Source organism: Homo sapiens, chromosome 14 (genome assembly GCF_000001405.40).
Source record: "Homo sapiens chromosome 14, GRCh38.p14 Primary Assembly".
Classification (NCBI taxonomy): domain Eukaryota; kingdom Metazoa; phylum Chordata; class Mammalia; order Primates; family Hominidae; genus Homo; species Homo sapiens.
Genome location: NC_000014.9, coordinates 77,794,271 through 77,814,542, shown reverse-complemented (window position 1 = coordinate 77,814,542; position 20,272 = coordinate 77,794,271). Strand labels below are relative to the sequence as shown.

Below are 20,272 nucleotides of genomic sequence, written 5' to 3'. Positions count from 1 at the left end.
GCTGGTCTCCAACTCCTGAGCTCAAGCGATCCACCCACCTTGGCCTCCCAAAGTGCTGAGATTACAGATGTGAGCTACCATGCTCAGAAAGGATTTTTGTTTTTTGTTTTTTTTTTCAGTAAAGAGAGGCTTCATTGTCTACCAATGGGTCAGAAAAAAAAAGGGGTCAGGTGCAGTGGCTCACACCTGTAATCCCAGCACTTTGGGAAGCCAAGATGTGAGGATCATTTGAGCCCAGAAGTTCAAGACCAGCCTAGGCAACATAGCGAAACCCCATCGCTACAAAAAATACAAAAATCAGCTGGGTGTGGTGGCATGCACCTGTTGTCCTAGCTACTTGGGAGGCTGAGGTGGGAGGATCACTTGAGCCTGGGAGGCAAAGGTTGCAGTGAGCTGAGATTGCGCCACTGCACCCCAGCCTCAATGACAGAGTGAGACCCTGTCTCAGAAAAATAAAATTTAAAAAAAAAAATAAGGCTCGGCGTGGTGGCTCACACCTGTAATCCCAGCACTTTGGGAGGCCGAGGCAGGCGGATCACCTGAGGTCAGGAGTTTGAGACCAGCCTTGCCAACATGGCAAAACCCTGTCTCTACTAAAAATACAAAAGTTAGCCGGGTGTTGTGGCATGCATCTTTAGTTTCAGCTACTCAAGAGGCTGTGGCAGGAAAACCACTTGAACAGGAGGTAGAGGTTGCAGTGAGCCGAGATTGCACCACTGCGCACTACAGCGTGGGTGACAGCATGAGACTCCTCAAAAAAAAAACAAAAAAAAAACAGGAAAACAAAGAGAGGCTTTGCTGAAATTTAGTGTTCAACTTCATCAGTGAATATTCCCCAAAAACATGCCTCCCCTTCCCCAACACCAGAGGACTGTATTCACTCTACAAGGGTAACTGCAAGCAACGATTTTTAAGGAAATAATTTAAGAAACTCAGGCTGGGCACGTGGCTCATGCCTGTAATCCCAGCACTTTGGGACGCCAAGGCGGGCAGATCACAAGGTCAGGAGTTTGAGACCAGCCTGGCCAACATGGTGAAACCCCATCTCTACTAAAAATACAAAAATTAGCTGGGCGTAGTGATGCACGCCTATAGTCCCAGCCACTCGGAAGGCTGAGGCAGGAGAATTGCTTGAACCCAGGAGACGGAGGTTGCAGTGAGCTGAGACCATGCCATTGCACTCCAGCCTGGGCAACAAGAACACAACTCCATCTCCAAAAAAATAATAATAATAAAATAAAAGGCCAGCACAGTGGCTCACGCCTATAATCCCAGTACTTTGGGAGGCCGAGGCAGGTGGATCACCTGAGGTCGGGAGTTCAAGACCAGACTGACCAACACGGAGAAACCCAGTCTCTAGTAAAAATACAAAATTAGCCAGGCATGGTGGCGCATGCCTATAATCCCAGCTACTAAGGAGGCTGAGGCAGGAAAATTGCTTGAACCCGGGAGGTGGAGGTTGCAGTGAGCTAAGATCACACCATTGCACTCCAGCCTGGGCAACAAGAGTGAAACTTCGCCTCAAAAAAAAAATTTTAAGAAACTCACTTATTTCTTTCCCTAAACAGAAATGCTCAATCTCTCCCAACTCCTGGGATCAGTTCCTACCTCTGCAAGAATGAGATTGTGACTTTGTAAATAAAAAGAATATGCAGCCGGGCATGGTGACTCATATCTGTAACCCCAGCACTTTGGGAGGCCGAGGCGGGCAGATCACTTGAGCCCAGGAGTTCGAGACTAGCCTGGCCAACATGGCAAAACCCTATCTCTACTAAAAATACAAAAACTAGCCAGGCATGGTGGCTCACTCCTGTAATTCCAGCTACTCAGGTGGCTAAAGCACGAGAATTGCTTGAACCCAGGAGGCAGAAGTTGCAGTGAGCTAAGATCACGCTACTGCACTCCAGCCTGGTCAAAAGAATGAAACTCTGTCTCAAAAAAAAGAATATGCAGTAGTATGCACAATAGCCAAGATGTAGAAACAACCTAAGTGTCCATCCACAAATGGATGAAGAAATTGTGAAATATATATATATACACACACACACTATGGAATATTATCCAGCCATAAAAAGGAAGGAAGCCTGCCATTGGTGACAACATGGATGAACCTAGAGAACATTTTGCTAAGTGAAATAAGCCAGACACAGAAAGACAAATACTGCATGATCTCACTCTTAGGTGGAATCTAAAGAAGTCAAACTCTTAGAGGCAGAGGTTAGAACGGTGGTTACCAGGGGCTGGGGGTTGGAGGGAAATTAGGCGATATTGGTCAAAGGGTACAAAGTTTCAGTTACAAGATGAATAAGTTCTGGGGACTCTAATGTACAACATGGAAACTCTAGTTAATACTACTGTATTGTTTACTTGAAATTTGCTGAGAGAGCAGATCTTAAGTGTCCTCACCACACACACACAAAAGGGTAACTATCTGAGGTGATGGATATGTTGATTGATTGTGGTAATCATTACACAGTACACATATATCAAATCATCAAGTTGTACACCTTGAATAGATACAATTATTTGTCAATTACACCTCAATAAAGCTGGAAAATAATAAATTAAAAGAATAAATTAAAACCTTGCTTTCTAGCATGCTCTTTATTTCCTTGATATTTCTCTTTATTTTATGAAAATTTCCCTGTCCCCATTTTATTATGCCAATATTTTAATAAGCCAAGGATTATTTTTGGGTGTTATCATTGTTTTTCTTGCTGTTGTTGTTGTTGTTGAGACAGGGGTTTACTCTGCCACTCAGGCTGGAGTACAGTGGTGCAATCACAGCTCACCGCAGCCTCAACCTCCTGGGCTCAGGCAATCCTCCCACCTCAGCCTCCCAAGTAGCTGGGACCATAGGCACAAACCACCATGTCTGGCTAATATTGTTTTGTATCAATTTTGTAGTGACAGGGTCTCTCTATGTTGCTCAAGTTGGTCTTGAACTCCTGGACTCAATCTTCCCACCTCGGTCTCCCAAAGTGCTGGGATTACAGGCGTTGAGCCACTGCACCTAGGCAAGGATTCTTTCTGGACAGGAGAGTGTACTGACGGAGATCATGAACTCTGGAGTCCAATCAGCCCAGGTTTGAGTCCTGGCATGGCCACTTATGAACTGGGTGACCATAGGCAAGCTGCTAAATCTCTCTGAACCTCATGATCTCGTCCATACACAAAGGGGATAACAGCAATACCTGCTTGATGGAGTGGTGGGAAATGAGATAAATCATGTAAAATGCTTAGCAAGGTGCCACCTACACAGTAAGAACTCAAGAGTGGCAGATGCTATTATCCTCCATTATTAGCATTAGTATTATTATCATTATTATTATCTCCTCACCCAGTGCCAGGCTTTAACAAATGCTCCCCTGCCTATCAGCTCCCAGAGGAATTCTGCACACCCTACTTCCAACATTCTAGGTGGCCCCCACTTAACCCTACCCTTTCTCCTTGCTCTCTACACCCTCAGCCTGGAGTATTTTCTGCTGAAAGGGGCAACAGACTCACCCTCTACTTTGTTTCCACCGAGACACAGGTCCCTAATCAGATCCAGAAACCGACCTTAAATTAGACTGAGTGACTTAAGCTCCTTACACAGCTTCCTTCTTCAGTCAAGATCATGAGAGTGATCCAGGGACCCTTCCTGTGGGCATCCAGAGAAGCCCACATTAGGAAGGCAGTATGAAGAGACCGTGGGTAAAGAACCCAGCCTTGCCGGGCACGGAGGCTCACGCCTGTAATCCCAGCACTTTGGGAGGCTGAGGCAGGCAAATCATGAGGTCAGAAGATCGAGACCATCCTGGCTAACACGGTGAAACCCCGTCTCTACTAAAAATACAAACAAATTAGCCAGGCGTGATGGGGGGCGCCTGTAGTCCCAGCTACTCGGGAGGCTGAGGTAGGAAAATGGCGTGAACCCGGGAGGCATAGCTTGCAGTGAGCTGAAATCGTGCCACTGCACTCCAGCCTGGGAGACAGAGCGAGACTCCGTCTCAAAAAAAAAAAAAAAAAGAACCCAGCCTCTGAACACCTTGAGTAAGTCACAACTCCTTGCAGCTTCTGCATAATTATCTATGAAGGGGAGCTCTTGAGAGTACCCACCTTCTAGGCTCATTGTAAGAATTAACTGGCCAGGCGTGGTGGCTCATGCCATTAAGCCCAGCACTTTGGGAGGCCAAGGTGGGAAGGTTGCTTGAGTCCAGGAGTTCAAGACTAGCCTGAAGAACACAGCAAGACCTCATCTCTACAAACAATAAAAAAGTTAGCTGGGCATGGTGGTGTGTCCCTGAACTCCCAGCTACTCAGGAGGCTGAGGTAGGAGGATCACTTGAGCCTGGAAGGTCGAGGCTGCAGTGAGTGTAGTGGTGAGTGCCATCGCACTTACCCTAGGCAACAGAGCAAGACTCAAGAAAAAAAAAAGTAATTAACTGAATACTACTTTAAGGCAATGCCTGACATACCCAGTAAATAAGACTCTCTTGTAATTTTTTTTTTTTTTTTTTTTTGAGACAGAGTCTCACTCTGTCACCCAGGCTGGAGTCCATTGGTATGATCTCGGCTCACTGCAGCCTCCGCCTCCTGGGCTCAAGTGATTCTCCTGCCTCAGCCTCCTGAGTAGCTGGGACGAAAGGCAGGTGCCACCACGCCCGGCTAAATTTTTTTGTATTTTTATTAGAGAAGAGGTTTCACCATGTTGGTCAGGCTGGTCTCGAACTCCTGGCCTCAGGTGATACTCCCACCTTGGCCTCCCAAAGTGCTGGGATTACAGGCCTGAACCACCACACCCAGCCTCTCTTGTGATTTTAAACCTCATTTATTTGTTACTGAAAAGTCAAAAGTCAAAGAGCTTATGAAAAACTCCTAGCACCTAAGGAACCAGGATTTGGCATAACGTCAAATAATTAATAAACAGGGAGGCCAGGCACAGTGGCTCACGCCTGTAATCCCAGCACTTTGGGAGGCCAGCAGGCAGATCACCTGAGGTCAGGAGTTCAAGACCAGCCTGGCCAACATGATGAAATGCTGTCTCTACTAAAAATGCAAAAATTAGCCAGGCGTGGTGGTGGACGTCTGTAATCCCAGCTACTCAAGAGGCTGAGGCAAGAGAATCGCTTGAACCCGGGAGGCGGTAATTGTAGTGAGCCAAGGTCACGCCATTGCACTCCAGCCTGGGCAACAAGAGCCAAACTCCATCTCAAAAAATTTTTTGTATTAAAAAATAAAACATAAACAGGGGAAGTAGGCCATCATATCTTGCCTGAACTACTCAACCATTCTCCATTCCAAACTGACTTCTCCACATCCCATCTAATCTTTACTCTGCCACTCAAGTTATCTTGGTCATCCTCAAGTGTATTCATACCATTCTTATCACCTCTCCACCTACCACAAAGCCCAAACTCCTTGCAAGACACTCAAGGCCCACCAAATTCTTACCCCAACTTGCCTTTCCAGCCTTTTTCTCCCAAAATATACCTCCACACTCAATCCCTCATTATCCTTCCATGAAGCTTCTTGTGAGCCAATCACTCAGAATTCCTCATTCATTCCTCACTAGTCTAATTATATACTGCTTTTATGGATAATGATTGGGTCTTATATCTGCCCTCTCCACTAGATCCAAAAGGAAGACTCTGTTAACAAATAAATGAATAAATAACTGCAGTGGGCCAGGTGCAGTGGCTCACGCCTGTAATCCCAACACTTTGGGAGGCCAAGGCGGGTGGATCACCTGAGGTCAGGAGTTCAAGACAAGCCTGGCCAGCATGGTGAAACTCCGTCTCTACTAAAAATACAAAAATTAACCAGGCGTGGTAGTGGGCGCCTGTAATCCCAGCTACTCGGGAGGCTTAGGCAGGAGAATCACTTGAACCCAGGAGGCAGAGGTTGCAGTGAGCTGAGATCACGCCATTGCACTCCAGCCTGGGCAACAAGAACGAAACCCTGTCTCAAAATAAATTAATAAATAAATAAATGTAGTGGATGTCTATAATTTTATGTTGCCTTGGCATCCATTTTGAACATAGTTTTAACTTTCTAAGGCCAGAGGCATGTTAAACCCTTGACAGTTTCAGTTCTCTACCTCCTCCCAGTTCCTCAATGTGATTGATCCAGAAATCTGCCTTAGACAATGCCTCCTGGTGACCACCCCACTATGGGACAGCTACCTACAGCCTACTTTAATCACCCCATCAACCTGCACACCCACCATGGACTGTGCAGATATACCACAGTGACCACCCCTCAGTCACTGTGTGACTCCACGGAACTCATGCCTGCTTATTGTAAACCCACCAATTAGAACTCCCCATGAGAAATCTGCCTGGCTTAACACTCTTGACCCCAAAAAAGGCTTTGGTGCACAGGTCTCCTCTCTTGATCTCTCTCTCCTCGCTCCCACCCACCTGCTGGTTGAACTCCATGCTGTCTCCAGGCTTCCTATCCACCCTCATGGGCACCCTTTTCTCCAGTGGATCTGTCAGGAAAGGCTTCTGTTATTTCGTATGTTTTGTTGTGCTGCCTGTGTCTGTGTTTCACTTGACCAACACACCTGAAGCCAATTCCTGTCTTGGTCAGGTCTCTCTTAGAGAGTGACTCTCAGGCCAGGAGTGGTGGCTCATGCCTGTAATCCCAGCACTTTGAGAGGCTGAGACGGGTGGATCACTTGAGGTCAGGAGTTCAAGACCAGACTGGCCAACATGGGAAAACCTCATCTCTACTAAAAATACAAAAATTGCCGGGCATGGTGGTTCACGCCTATAATCCCAGCACTTTGGGAAGCCGAGGTAGGTGGATCACCTGAGATCGGGAGTTCAAGACCAGCCTGACCAACATGGAGAAACCCCATCTCTACTAAAAATACAAAATTAGCCGGGCGTGGTGGCACATGCCTGTAATCCCAGCTACTCGGGAGGCTGAGGCAGGAGAACTGCCTGAACCCCAGAGGCGGAGATTGCAGTGAGCCAAGATCATGCCACCACACTCCAGCCTGGGCAACAAGGGCGAAACTCCATCTCAAAAAAAAAAAAAAAAAATTAGCTGGGCGTGGTGGCGCACGGCTGTAATCCCAGCTACTTAGGAGGCTGAGGCAGGAGAATCACTTGAACCTGGGAGGTGGAGGTTGCAGTGAACCAAGATCACACCAACCTGGGCAACAGAGTAAGACTCTGTCTCCAGGCCGGGCGCGGTGGCTCACGCCTGTAGTCCCAGCACTTTGGGAGGCCGAGGCGGGCGGATCACGAGGTCAGGAGATCGAGACCATCCCGGCTAACATGGTGAAACCCCGTCTCTACTAAAAATACAAAAAATTAACCGGGCGTGGTGGCGGGCGCCTGTAGTCCCAGCTACTTGGGAGGCTGAGGCAGGAGAATGGCGTGGACCCGGGAGGCGGAGCTTGCAGTGAGCCGAGATCCCGCCACTGCACTCCAGCCTGGGCGACAGAGCGAGACTCCGTCTCAAAAAAAAAAAAAAAAAAAGACTCTGTCTCCAAAAAAAAAAAAAAAAAGAGAGAGAGAGAGTGGCTATCTTAGGCCGGGCGCAGTGGCTCATGCCTGTAATCCCAACGCTTTGGGAGGCTGAGACGGCTGGATCATTTGAGGTCAGGAGTTCAAGACCAGCTCAGGCAACATGGTGAAACACCATCTCTCCTAAAAATACAAAAATTAGCTGGGTGTGATGGCATGCACCTGTAGTCCCAGCTACTCAGGAGGCTGAGGCACAAGAATCACTTGAACCCAGGAGAAGGAGGTTGCAGTGAGCTGGGACCATGCCACTGCACTCCAGCCTGGGTGACAAAGCGATACTCTGTCTAAAAAAAGAGTGGCTATCTTGGTGGGAATAACCTGGACACAGGTCAGATGAGCCACAGGGCGTCTGCCAGTTTAAACAAGTTTACTGTGGGAGAGACACCTAGGCACAAGTCAGACACAGGCATTAGGCTGTCCAGCAGGATAAAGAAGAACTCCACGAAAGGCACACTGAAAAAGTCCATGACCAAAGCCCTTGGATTCCAGGCAAGGCAGAGCTAGATCTCTCTGGAGAGAGACCTCAAGACCAAATTAAAAGCAAATACAACAATACCACTGATAATTGAAACCACCTTCACAAAATTATGAGAGTAAGAAAATTTGCCGTAGTTGACTCCATCTTGCTTCTGACTTCCAACCTGTCCTTGCTCACTCCTGGGTATAGACCAAGCTAACTTTGGGAGGAATATAGTTTATAGTTTAATTTGAAAGCAAGGATGATAACCATCCCTCCATAAAACTAATCCCTCTTGCTCAGAGACCTAAAACCACCTTTGTAAAACTAACAAGGCCAGGTGCAGCGAGTGCTCACACCTGTAATCCCAACACTTTGGGAGGCTGAGGTGGGAAGACCGCTTGAGCTCAGGAGTCCAGACCAGCCGGGGCAACATAGAGAGACCTCATCTCTCAAACTCCTGACCTCGAGCAATCCGCCCACCTCAGCCTCCCAGAGTGCTGGGATTACAGATGTGAGCCACCGCACCCAGCAACAAGACCTCATCACTTTAAAAAAAAAAAAAAAAAAAAAAAGCCGTAAGAATAGGATTATGGGAGGAACCAGAACTCTGCTAAAATGTAGCATAGTTTCTATAATCCCTTACTGCTCAGGAGTCACGTGATCAGAGGTCACAAGATTTGTGACTTTCCTAATTGTTCCCATAGAATATATAAACATCACTATTGTAGAACCTAAGATTGGGAGGTTTTTTGAGATTTTTTTCAGACTGAGCCCCCTGGACAAGTTCTTACATGGTCTAACTCTCAATTCCCTCTAGGGTCTCATGCCCTACCACTTTCCCCTTCACTCGTTCTACTCCAAACGCACTGGCCTCTGTGCCATTCCTCAAACATGCCAGGCATATTCTGACCTCCCAGAGCTTTTGCACTTGCTGTTCTCTGTCTAGAACAGAGGTTGACAAATATTTTTCTATAAAGAGCCATATAAGAGTAATTTTTGGGCCAGCACAGTGGCTCACGCCTGTAATCCCAACACTTTAGGAGGCCGAGGCAGGTGGATCACTTGAGGTTAGGGGTTTGAAACCAGCCTGGCCAATGTGGTGAAGCCCTGTCTCTACTAAAAATACAAAAATTAGCCAAGTGTGGTGGCAGGTGCCTGTAATCCCAGTTACTCGGGAGGCTGAGGCAGGAGAATCACTTGAACCCAGGTGGCGGAGGTTGCGGTGAGCCAAGATCGTGCCACTACACTCCAGCCTGGGCAACAGGGCAAGACTCTGTCTCAAAAAAAAAAAAAAAAAAAAAAAAAAAGAATGCAAAGCCAAAAATGACTCTTTTTTTTTTTTTTTTTTTAAATGAGACAGAGTCTCACTCTTGTTGCCCAGGCTGGAGTGCAGTGGTGCAATCTCGGCTCACCACAACCTCCGCCTCCAGGGTTCAAGCGATTCTCCTGCCTCAGCCTCCCAAGTAGCTGGGATTGCAGGCATGCGCCACCACGTCCGGCTAATTTTGTATTTTTAGTAGAGACAGGGTTTCTCCATGTTGGTCAGGCTGGTCTCAAACTCCCAACCTCAGGTGATCCGCCTACCCCAGCCTCCCAAAGTGCTGGGATGACAAGCGTGAGCCACCGTGCCCAGCCTTGGCTTTGCATTCTATAACATCTCTGACGCATCTACTCAACTCTGCATTGTGGCACAAGGCAAACACAGAGGATGTATAAAGTAATAGGTGTGGCCAGAATTGAACCTCAGGCTGTCATTTGCCAAACCCTGGCCTAGCACATAGGGGGCGCTCCAAAAGCATTTACTGAACGAATGAATCAATGAATGGACAAACTACAGCCAGTGAGGCCTGAGACCTGTGCAGAGCAAGGAACAATGCAGGTCCCCAGGTGAAAACCACATGCCCTGGGCTGACAATTCATCACCAACACCCCATCCCACCCCAACACCACCTCCCAGCCCCTGCCTCCCCTGAACCCCCTCTTCCTGTTACACCAACCTCCACACCTGTCCCCTGTATGCAATGAGGCCACCCCTACCCTTGAGACCACCTCTGGGTGGGAAGTAACAGCGAAGCAGACACAACTCTCGAAACCCTGTTTTCGTGCAAATGTCCTCAGTGATAAAAGAGATGGAAATTGAAATACATAAAATAGATGATACAGGAGCCGAATGGCATCTAAATAGACTGGAGCTAGAGTTTTCCATAAGGTGTCCCTGAGTCTTTAACATGCAAATGAGTTGCTTCCCTCGGGGTATTGTAAAAGACCCTGTCAGGCGTGAAATATGTCTGTCAATTGAAAACATTTTTCCTTATTAAACCCTTTGTTAATGAATCACCTGCCCTGTTCTGCTTACTAGCCTTTTTGACTTTCACCTGAGTCACCTCTCCTAACAGTACATACCTTACAGGGGGTCTGAGGCCACCAAAACCCTTAAACCTAATCACTAGATAATAACACTAGCAAGAACTAGCCTTTATATTAAAATAGAGCCCTTTACACTCAACTCATTAGATATTCCACACAACCCAGTGAGGAGAGACAAATATTATTACCATCCCCAGGTATAAATGAGGAAACCAAGGAGCAGAGAGGGTGAGAGATTTGTCCCAGGTGGCTCAGCTAGTAAAATGGCTAAGAGCTTGAGCAGGGCCTTCCCACTCATTCCAAGTATTCAGCCCTTCTCTTTATGACAGGTAACGTCTTTGATAGGAACACCTGGACTCCTGTTCACTAAAGTCCTTACTGCTGTTCTCAAGTAAATGCAACTGTTGCTGTGGGCAGAGACTATGATTTCTGACCCAGTGCCAGGCATGTGGGAGGCACTGTTTGGAGCCCCCAAAATCAACAGGATGTCACAAGATCAACCAATGCCTCCCACTAGAAACAAGCCATTTCAGTCTATCAAATGTTTAGGAGAGCTGCAAAGCTGACATGGCTGTTTTATTGTCAAATCAATGACAAGAATGGAATCCATCTCGCTGGACCACAGGAAACACCCCAGTAGGTTATGAAAATGAAGCAACAGGAGAGTCTGGGACGTACAAATGGGAAGCTGATGGTCACACGAAATGTCCGTCCCCTTGACAGAACTAAATGGGAAACCAAGCACTTACTGTTCATCGGAGTCAGTGACTAGCTAGGCCTTTTCAGTTTCCATCCATTGGCAGCCCTCTCCCTATGCTACATTTCAGGACTAAAGGCCTGGAATCACCTTTCCCTGTTTGGTGCACAAATGAGAATTACCACAGAGAAAAGGCACTTAGGTCTCTAGTTCCATGAAAAGTGACCATGGCCTCCTCCCATTTCCTAGAGAGACTATTATACCAATGAGCATTATTTCTTCTAGTCTGCCCCCAAAACTGAAAAAAGACCCAAAAATACCCTTGGAGAGAGTGATAGGGTCTTCAGAAGAACCTGGTCCCTGATATGGATAGAAAGCACACAAAGTGAATGATACCATCATGCCTCAAGTCTGGAAAGATGCCAAAGACACCAAGTCAATAGCAAGGGACTGTGTGAAGTTGGCCTGAGCAGGTTTACAGTCTGCCCTCCCTAAGATAGTAATGTAGTCCAGGAACCAAATTGTATTTATTTATTTATTTTGAGATGAAGTCTCATTCTGTCGCCCAGGCTGGAGTGCAGTGGCGCAATCTCGGCTCACTGCAAGCTCCGCCTCCCGGGTTCCAGCCATTCTCCTGCCTCAGCCTCCTGAGTAGCTGGGACTACAGGCACCCGGCACCACGCCCAGCTAATTTTTTTGTATTTTTTTTAGTAGAGACGGTGTTTCACCATGTTAGCCAGGATGGTCTCGATCTCCTGACCTCGTGATCCGCCCGCCTTGGCTTCCCAAAGTGCTGGGATTACAGGCGTGAGCCACCGCGCCCGGCTAGGAACCAAATTTTAATCAAACTCCCTTTCCTAGTGTTTGATGCCTAAGCACTCAAGGTCCTTAAATCAATGTTGATTAAATAAAGGAATCCCGGGAGGCTGAAGCAAGAGAATTGCTGGAACCCGAGAGGCAGAGGCTGCAGTGAGCCAAGATCGTGCCACTGCACTCCAGCCTGGGCGACAGAGCAACACTCTGTCTCAAAAAATAAAAAAAGGAATCCCTGACTGATGCCAAGGTCCCAGAATAGACAACAAAAATAATTCTCACCCAGGCAAGGAATAGAAATCCTCCATTCAGTCCATCCTAGGAAAGGCAGACTGAGGGAGAATAGGGCAAAGCCAGATGCAAAGAGCAAGCAGCAGGTAAGAGAAGAGAGTGAGCTTCCAACGGGAGAGCTACAGTACCAAGCACTTATTAGCTCATTAACTCACACAACCAGATTCCGAGGTGCATGCTATTAGAGCTTCAATCTATGGATAAGGAAGTGGTGTTTTAGAAAAGGTAGAAAACTTGGCCAAGGAGCTGGTAAGTGATGGAGGCAGAACTTGAATCCATGTATGACTGCTCCCACCAAGAGAGCAAAAAGTGCACAAGAACAAGCAGCTTGCTGGGCCCTGAAATAGGCCACTGGAGTCCCTGCAACATGGAAACCTTAACCCAGGAGGCATATTTAGTGAGTTACCCTGGTGAAGAAATGGATGGCTGACCCAACTAAATTTTTTTTTTTTAGACGGAGTCTTGCTCAGTCGCCCAGGCTGGAGTGCAGTGACACGATCTCGGCTCACTGCAGCCTCCGTCTCCCGGGTTCAAGCTGTTCTCCTCCTCAGCCTCCCAAGTAGCTGGGACTACAGGCACACACCACTACGCCCAGGTAATTTTTTTGTATTTTTGGTAGAGATGGGGTTTCACCATGTTGGCCAGGCTGGCATTGAACGCCTGACCTCAAGTGATTCGCCCACCTCAGCCTCCCAAAGTGCTGGGATTACAGGTGTGAGCCACCGCACCCGGCCCCAACTAATATTCTTACAGGTCCTTTGTCTGACAAGAAAATGACTGCATAGCAGAAAGTAAGAATATGCACACTCTTCTAGTACAGATCAAATCGCACATCCCTGAGGCCAGTTGAGAAATGGCCAAGCAAAGAATGACCCAATAAGGTAGAATATGATGTAACCAGGAAAAATGACAAGTATAGACTACATTAAAATCTGTATATAAATTAATATGGAGGGAGTTAACAGTGTACAAAGTAATATGCACATATTTACAATCACCAAAAAAGTAAAACTGGCAAATAAAGACAGAAAGACCCGTAACCAGGTGTGAAGAGATAGTGCTTTAAGTTCACAGGATTTTTTTTCCTATAAAGCAGTGGTACTCAACGTATGGTCCCCAGACCAACAGCAACTGCATCACTTGGGTGCATGTTAGAAACGCCAATTCTTGGTCCTCATACCAGACTTACAGAATCAGAAACTTTGGGGATGGGGTCCAGTACTGTGTGTTGTTACTAGCTCTCCAGGTGACTCTGGTGCATGCTAAAGTTTGAGAACCACTGTAGTAAGAAAATTATTTTATTTATTTTCCTTTTTTTCTTTTAATACAGACGGGAGTCTCACTATGTTGCCCAGCCTGGTGTTGAACTCCTGCCCTCAAGCAATCCTCCCATCTTGGCCTCCCAAAGTGCTGGGATTACAGGCATCAGCCACCACATCCAGCCCCAAGAAAATTATTAAATAAAACATATGAAGCCACAGATAAAGTCTAATTCACTTCAACTCTGCAAATATTTCTTGAGCACCTACTAAGTGCCAAGTATCATGGAGGTAAACAATAAATACTTGTTGAATGACTTTCTTGTTAGTAGAAAGTAAATGCCACTTAACCCTGGGAGAGGGCTGTTCTAGGTGTCTTATCTAAAGGTTGCTCTCCACACACACTGGCTGCTGTTAGCACATATCTACTGTGTGATCTGGAAGCCCAGGGCCCTGCAAGATGCTGGAGATAAGCAGCGGTCTGGGGCACGTTCGCAAGACCGGGTGGAGGGCCAGGATATGGGCATCGCCCCCTGCTCTTGCCCAGACCACGCTCCAGCTCCAGCTGCTTCTGCCTCGGAACTCACAGGGCCACCAGGGGGTGAAGGCGTCTGGGTGAGCCACCTCCGGCCCTCCTCCAGCTCTGCCCACTCGGGTGCCTGCAAGACTGTGCCACTGAAGTGGACAGGTCACATGAAAGCCCACTGGTGTGCCAAACTGGAGAAGTCACTGCAGGGGGGCGGGGCAATGCGAGTCACCCGAGCCACGTGGCCGCGCGCCGGGCCCAGGTGACAAGGTCATGGGGCTGTCCCTCCCGGCGCCCAGGGCGGCTGCACAACCGGAGCAGAGGCCGACTCCCGGCGTGTCCATGCCGGTTCCCTCGCGCTCCAGGCGCGGTGCGGCCCTGCCAGGCTGGTCGGCCCGAGCTCTGCGCCGGCCTCCGGCGAGCTGCCCCTACTCACCCCGAGGGAAGCAGAGCCGCGGCGCCCGGCTTCCGGCCGCAACCCGGTAGCGGGGAATTAGCTGGGAACCGTGCGGGGACAGCCACCTGACTGCGCTTAGTGAAGCCGAGGCGCGCGCGGCCTGCCGGGACTTGTAGTTCCTGGTTCCCCACGCCGCGATCCCGCGGGCAGTACTGTGGAGGCACAGGGGTCTCGGGCTTACTCCGTCAGGTGGCCTTGTTGCTTTGCCAGGGCGACGGACTTGGAATATTACTGAAATATTTTCTTCAAGACATTCTAACTACGTCCCAGGTTCGTGTTTAATGAAAGATGAAGTGGATTTGTAGATTTTTTTTTTTTGAGACTGAGTCTCGCTCTGTCGCCCAAGCAGTACAGCTAATTTTTGTATTTTTTTTAGAGATGGGGTTTCACCATGTTGGCCAAGCCGGTCTCAAACTCCTGACCTCAAATGATCCGCCCGCCCAAAGTGCTGGGATTACAAGAGTGAGCCACTGCGCCCGACCTCGTAGATTTTATTCATTCATTCATTCATTCATTCATTCATTTTGAGACAGAGTCTCACTCTGTCGCCCAAGCTGGAGTGCAGTGGCCCATCTCGCCTCACTGCAACCTCCGCCTCCCGGGTTCAAGTGATTCTCCTGCCTCAGCCTCCTGAGTAGCTGGGATTACAGGAGTGTGCTACCACGCCCTGCTAATTTTTTGTATTTTTAGGAGTGACGGGGTTTCGCCATTTTGCCCAGGCTGGTCTTGAACTCCTGAACTCAGGCAATCCACCCGCCTTGACTTCCCAAAGTGCTGGGATTACAAGCCTGAGCCACCTCACCGGGCCATAGATTTTAAATAAGATATTGGAACTAGTAGGCGAAGAAGAAATTTACTGACAATTGATGTATGCTGGCGGGGCGGTGGCTCACGCCTGTAATCCCAGCAGGCCAAGGCTAGCAGATCACCTGAGGTCGGGAGTTTGAGACCAACCTGACCAACATGGAGAAACCCCGTCCCTACTAATAATAGCAAAAATTAGCCAGGCCTAGTGGTGCATGCCTGTAATCCCAGCTACTCAGGAGGCTGAGGCACTAGAAACCCGGGAGGCAGAAGTTGCGGTGAGCCGAGGTCACGCCATTGCACTCCAGCCTAGGCAACAACAGCGAAACTCCGTCTCAAAAATAATAATAATAATGCTGGCTGGGCAGGACGCAGTAGCTCACACCTGTAATCCCAGCACTTTGGGAGGCTGAGGCGGGCAGATCACCTGAGGCTAGGGGTTGGAGACCAGCCAGGCCGACATAGTGAAACCCCATTTCTACTAAAAATAGAAAAATTAAGCCGGGTGCGGTGGCTCATTCCTGTAATCCCAGCACCTTGGGAGGCCAAGGTGGGCGGACCACTTGAGGCCGGGAATTTGAGACCAGCCTGGCCAACATAGTGAAATCTGTCTCTGCTAAAAATACAAAAATTAGCCTGGTGTGGTGGTGCACGTCTGGAATTTCAGCTACTCAGGAAGCTGAGGCAGGAGAATCGCTTGAACCCGGGAGGCGGAGGTTGCAGTGAGCTGAGATCACGCCACTGCACTCCAGCCTAGGCAACAGAGTGAGACTCTGTCTCCAAAAAGAAAAAAAAGAAAAAGAAAAATTAGCCCAGCATAGTGGCGGGCACCTGTTATCCCAACTACTCGGGAGGCTGAGGTGGGAGAATTGCTTGAACCCAGGAGGTGGAGGTTGCAGTGAGCTGAGATTGGGCCACTGCACTCCAGCCTGGGCAACAGAGCAAGACTCGTCTCAAAATAAATAAATAAATAAATATAATATGCTAGCTAATCTTAGTTATCTTTGGCCCTTATTCATTCATTCACTGATCTCCATTATCAAATGTTGACTTATAAGATGCACTTTGAAGACATGTATCAAAAACATTTCTCTTTTTTTTTTTGAGACAGGGTCTGGCTGTGTTGCCCAAGCTGGAGTGTAGAGGCTCCATCACTGTAGCCTCAACTTCCTGTCCTCAAGGTACCCTCCTGCCTCAGTCTGTGGAGTAGCTGGGACTACAAGCACATACTGCCACGCCTGGCTAAATTTTTTAAATTTTTTCTCAAGAAAAGCTGGGGGGTGTGGTCTCACTATATTGCCCAGGCTGGTCTCGAATTTCTGTGCTAAGCCATCCTCTGGCCTTGGCCTCCCAAAGTGCTGGGATTACAGGTGTGAGCCACCACGCCAGGCCTCAGACGTTTGTTTATTCTATAAACATCTCTTGAGCTATTTTTTTCATGGGGGAATTAATCTATCAGTCCAATGCAGTTCCAATCAAATTTCCAACATAATTTTTTCTGGACCTTCACAAACTAATCAAAAGTGTGTATGAAAAAACAAAGGGCAGCGCAGTGGCTCGTGCCTGTAATCCCAGCACGTTGGGAGGCTAAGGCAGGTGGATCAGTTGAGGTCAGGAGTTCATCACCAGCCTGGCCAACATGGTAAAACCCCATCTCTACTAAAATACAAAAATTAGCCAGGCATGGTGGTGCACACCTGTAATCCCAGCTACTCAGAAGGCTGTGGCAAGAGAATCCTTGAACCCGGGAGACAAATGTTGCAGTGAGCCAAGATCATACCACTGAATTCCAGCCTGGGTGACAGAGCGAGACTTTGTCTCAAAAAAAAAAAAAAATACAAAAAACAAAAAAAAACCACCACTTTAAGGCAAAGCATAGCCAAAACATTCTTGAAGAAGAAAAATGTGTTTCAAGGACGCACCCTTCCATGTCAACATGTATTATAAAGCTATACAAATTAAGACCATGTGATATTGGAATAGGGAAAGGCAGAGGGGGAAATGGAACCACCTACAGAGCCCAAACATGCAGGCATCTATGAAATGAGGTATGGCTGGAATTATAGTTCAGTGAGGGAAGATAGAGTATTCAGTACATGGGCTGGAACAACCAGTTACCTGTTGGATCCCCTATGCAAAAACTAATTCAAGGTAGGTTAAAGACTTACAGGGGAAATTAAAGCATTTTAAAATTACAACTTTTTTTTTCTTCTTACTATCGTTCCCCAAAATTATAACTTTTACAAGAAAAGAAAACATCCTTATGATCTCAGGGTAGGGTTTATTAAGTGCCATAATCACAAACTGTAAATAAAACTTTGATAAATTTAAACTACATTAAATTTAAGCACTTGTCTTTATTGAAAGACAGCATAGACTGAGCACAGTGGCTTATCCCTGTAACCACGACAGTTTGGGAGGCCAAGGCAGGAGAATCGCTTGAAGCTGGGAGTTAGAGACCAGCCTGAGCAACATAGCCAGACCCTATGAGATTACAGAAAAATTAAAAATTAGCTGGGCATGGTGGCGCATGCCTGTAGTCCCAGCTACTCTGGAGGCCAGGGAGGGAGGATCTTGAGCCCAGGAGTTCAAGGCTGCAGTGAGCTTTGATGAGTCTTGCCACTGCACTCCAGCTGGGCAACAGAGAGAGAGCTAAACCCGGTCACTAAAAAAGAAAAAAAAAGATAATTGCAGCACAGAGGTAGCAGTAGTATAGAGTTAAATAACACAGCCCCCACCATCTAAAGTTTGCAATGTATAGGCATTAAGATAAGAAGATTGATAACTTCCAAATAATGTGAGAAGTGTTAAGATTGAGGTATGAACAAAGTGGCTTAGGAACAGAAAAAAGGGAGCATTAGGCCAGGTGCAGTGGCTCACACCTGTAATCCCAGCACTTAGGGAGGCCAAGGCAGGCAGATCACTTGAGGTCAGGAATTCCAGCCCAGCCTGGCCAACATGGTGAAACCCCGTCTCTACTAAAAATACAAAACTTAGCTGGGCGTGGTGTCACACGCCTGTAGTCCCAGCTGCTCTAGAGGCTAAGGCAGGATACTCGCTTGAACCTAGGAGGCAGAGGTTGCAGTGAGCCGAGATCATGTCACTGCACTCCAGCCTGGGTGACAGAGCAAGACTCCATCTCAAAAAATAATAATAAATTAAAAATAAAATAATAATAAGGGCCAGGCACAGTGGCTCATGCCTAAAATCCCAACTACTCAGGAGGCTCACGTGGGAAGATAACTTGAGCCCAGAAGGTCAAGGGTACAGTGAGGCATGATTGCACCACCACCGCATTCCAGCCTGGGTGACAGAGAAAAACCCAGTCTAAAAAAAAAAATCACCTGGAGAGCTTTAAAAGTCTTCCTGGGCCATAGCTGGCACTAGCACCCCTTCAACTACTGGGAATGGGACTGAGTCATAGGTATTTTGTAGAGCTCCCTGTAGGATTTCAATGCACAGCTGAGGTTAAAAACCCCGATTTAGAGTCAAAGAATCTTATTTGAACTGGGTGACTCACAGCAGGTTTTCTAATTTTGGCAGAGCTTTAGTTTCTGTCTTGATAAAATGGAGTTAATACTATTGTCAGTCCTATCTACCTCAAAGGGCTTGTGAGGATCAAGTGCAATGGTGCAAGTGCTTTGGAAGCTGAATGTTGCTGTTCAGAGGAGTGTCATGACACTGAGAAGAAAATCCAAACTCTTTGCCTGATGTGGGGAAAAGCAAGAGAGATCAGATTGTTACTGTGTCTGTGTAGAAAGAAATAGACATGGGAGACTCCATTTTGTTATGTACTAAGAAAAATTCTTCTGCCTTGAGATTCTGTGACCTTACCCCTAACCCCGTGCTCTCTGAAACATGTGCTGTGTCAAACTCAGGGTTAAATGGATTAAGGGCGGTGCAAGATGTGCTTTGTTAAACAGATGCTTGAAGGCAGCATGCTCCTTAAGAGTCATCACCACTCCCTAATCTCAAGTACCCAGGGACACAAAAACTGCGGAAGGCCGCAGGGACCTCTGCCTAGGAAAGCCAGGTATTGTCCAAGTTTTCTCCCCATGTGATAGTCTGAAATATGGCCTCGTGGGAAGGGAAAGACCTGACCGTCCCCCAGCCCAACTCCTGTAAAGGGTCTGTGCTGAGGAGGATTAGTATAAGAGGAAGGCATGCCTCTTGCAGTTGAGACAAGAGGAAGGCATCTGTCTCCTGCCCGTCCCTGGGCAATGGAATGTCTCGGTATAAAACCCGATTGTACGTTCCATCTACTGAGATAGGGGAAAAGCGCCTTAGGGCTGGAGGTGGGACATGCGGGCAGCAATACTGCTTTGTAAAGCATTGAGATGTTTATGTGTATGCATATCTAAAAGCACAGCACTTAATCCTTTACCTTGTCTATGATGCAAAGACCTTTGTTCACGTGTTTGTCTGCTGACCCTCTCCCCACTATTGTCTTGTGACCCTGACACATCCCCCTCTCGGAGAAACACCCACGAATGATCAATAAATACTAAGAAAACTCAGAGGCTGGCGGGATCCTCCATATGCTGAACGCTGGTCCCCAGGGTCCCCTTATTTCTTTCTCTATACTTTGTCTCTGTGTCTTTTTCTTTTCCAAGTCTCTCGTTCCACCTTACGAGAAACACCCACAGGTGTGGAGGGGCAACCCACCCCTTCAGCCTGACCCTCCTGGCTCCCCAGAGGCTGGCTCCACTCCCTCTCTCCAGCCTCATTTCCCACCCTTCTCTTCCCTGGCTCACTCCACTCCAACCGCATCAGCTTCCTTTCTGTTCTCAATCTGCCAAGCTGGCTGCTATCTGGGCAGCCGTTACACTTGCTATTCCCCCATATCTTCAATGGTCTGCTCCATCCTGGCAATTTGTTCTCTGCTAATGTTACTCTCCAGAGAGGTCATCCCCAATTACCCCTATCTCCCCACTCACCCCCACATTCCCTGAGACACACTCTACCTCCTTACACTGTTTTATTTATAAAATTTATTTAAAATCACTTATCAATACTTGAATTTTGTGGGGAGGGGGCAGTTTGGTACAGATGTTCTTTATCTTGGTGGACCTTAT

The 20,272-nt window shown here is 47.6% G+C and overlaps 1 protein-coding gene across 11 annotated transcripts in view, besides 8 other annotated features; it reads right to left on the bottom strand.

The window, feature by feature from the left end:
• The window catches only part of ADCK1 (aarF domain containing kinase 1), a 134,906-nt gene extending 120,472 nt beyond the window's left edge, over positions 1-14,434 (bottom strand). For all 11 annotated transcript variants that reach the window (NR_158989.2, NR_158987.2, NR_158988.2 and 8 more), the window contains exon 1: positions 14,373-14,434. The gene's annotated coding sequence lies outside the window, so the exon portion shown is untranslated. The remainder of the gene's footprint in view (positions 1-14,372) is intronic.
• Positions 11,598-12,437: an enhancer, noted in NCBI's record as "H3K27ac hESC enhancer chr14:78268449-78269288 (GRCh37/hg19 assembly coordinates)". NCBI's record gives its function as "activates a minimal SCP1, AML or CMV promoter by ChIP-STARR-seq in naive H9 embryonic stem cells {active_cell/tissue: H9 hESC(naive)}" and the evidence as "EXISTENCE:reporter gene assay evidence [ECO:0000049][PMID:30033119]".
• Positions 13,819-13,898: an enhancer, noted in NCBI's record as "active region_8813". NCBI's record gives its function as "activates an Ori minimal core promoter by ATAC-STARR-seq in GM12878 lymphoblastoid cells {active_cell/tissue: GM12878}" and the evidence as "EXISTENCE:reporter gene assay evidence [ECO:0000049][PMID:35858748]".
• Positions 13,909-13,958: an enhancer, noted in NCBI's record as "active region_8812". NCBI's record gives its function as "activates an Ori minimal core promoter by ATAC-STARR-seq in GM12878 lymphoblastoid cells {active_cell/tissue: GM12878}" and the evidence as "EXISTENCE:reporter gene assay evidence [ECO:0000049][PMID:35858748]".
• Positions 14,032-14,570: an enhancer, noted in NCBI's record as "H3K27ac-H3K4me1 hESC enhancer chr14:78266316-78266854 (GRCh37/hg19 assembly coordinates)". NCBI's record gives its function as "activates a minimal SCP1, AML or CMV promoter by ChIP-STARR-seq in primed H9 embryonic stem cells {active_cell/tissue: H9 hESC(primed)}" and the evidence as "EXISTENCE:reporter gene assay evidence [ECO:0000049][PMID:30033119]".
• Positions 14,149-14,508: a silencer, noted in NCBI's record as "silent region_5981". NCBI's record gives its function as "represses an Ori minimal core promoter by ATAC-STARR-seq in GM12878 lymphoblastoid cells {active_cell/tissue: GM12878}" and the evidence as "EXISTENCE:reporter gene assay evidence [ECO:0000049][PMID:35858748]".
• Positions 14,571-15,109: an enhancer, noted in NCBI's record as "H3K27ac hESC enhancer chr14:78265777-78266315 (GRCh37/hg19 assembly coordinates)". NCBI's record gives its function as "activates a minimal SCP1, AML or CMV promoter by ChIP-STARR-seq in primed H9 embryonic stem cells {active_cell/tissue: H9 hESC(primed)}" and the evidence as "EXISTENCE:reporter gene assay evidence [ECO:0000049][PMID:30033119]".
• Positions 18,214-18,263: a silencer, noted in NCBI's record as "silent region_5980". NCBI's record gives its function as "represses an Ori minimal core promoter by ATAC-STARR-seq in GM12878 lymphoblastoid cells {active_cell/tissue: GM12878}" and the evidence as "EXISTENCE:reporter gene assay evidence [ECO:0000049][PMID:35858748]".
• Positions 18,274-18,323: a silencer, noted in NCBI's record as "silent region_5979". NCBI's record gives its function as "represses an Ori minimal core promoter by ATAC-STARR-seq in GM12878 lymphoblastoid cells {active_cell/tissue: GM12878}" and the evidence as "EXISTENCE:reporter gene assay evidence [ECO:0000049][PMID:35858748]".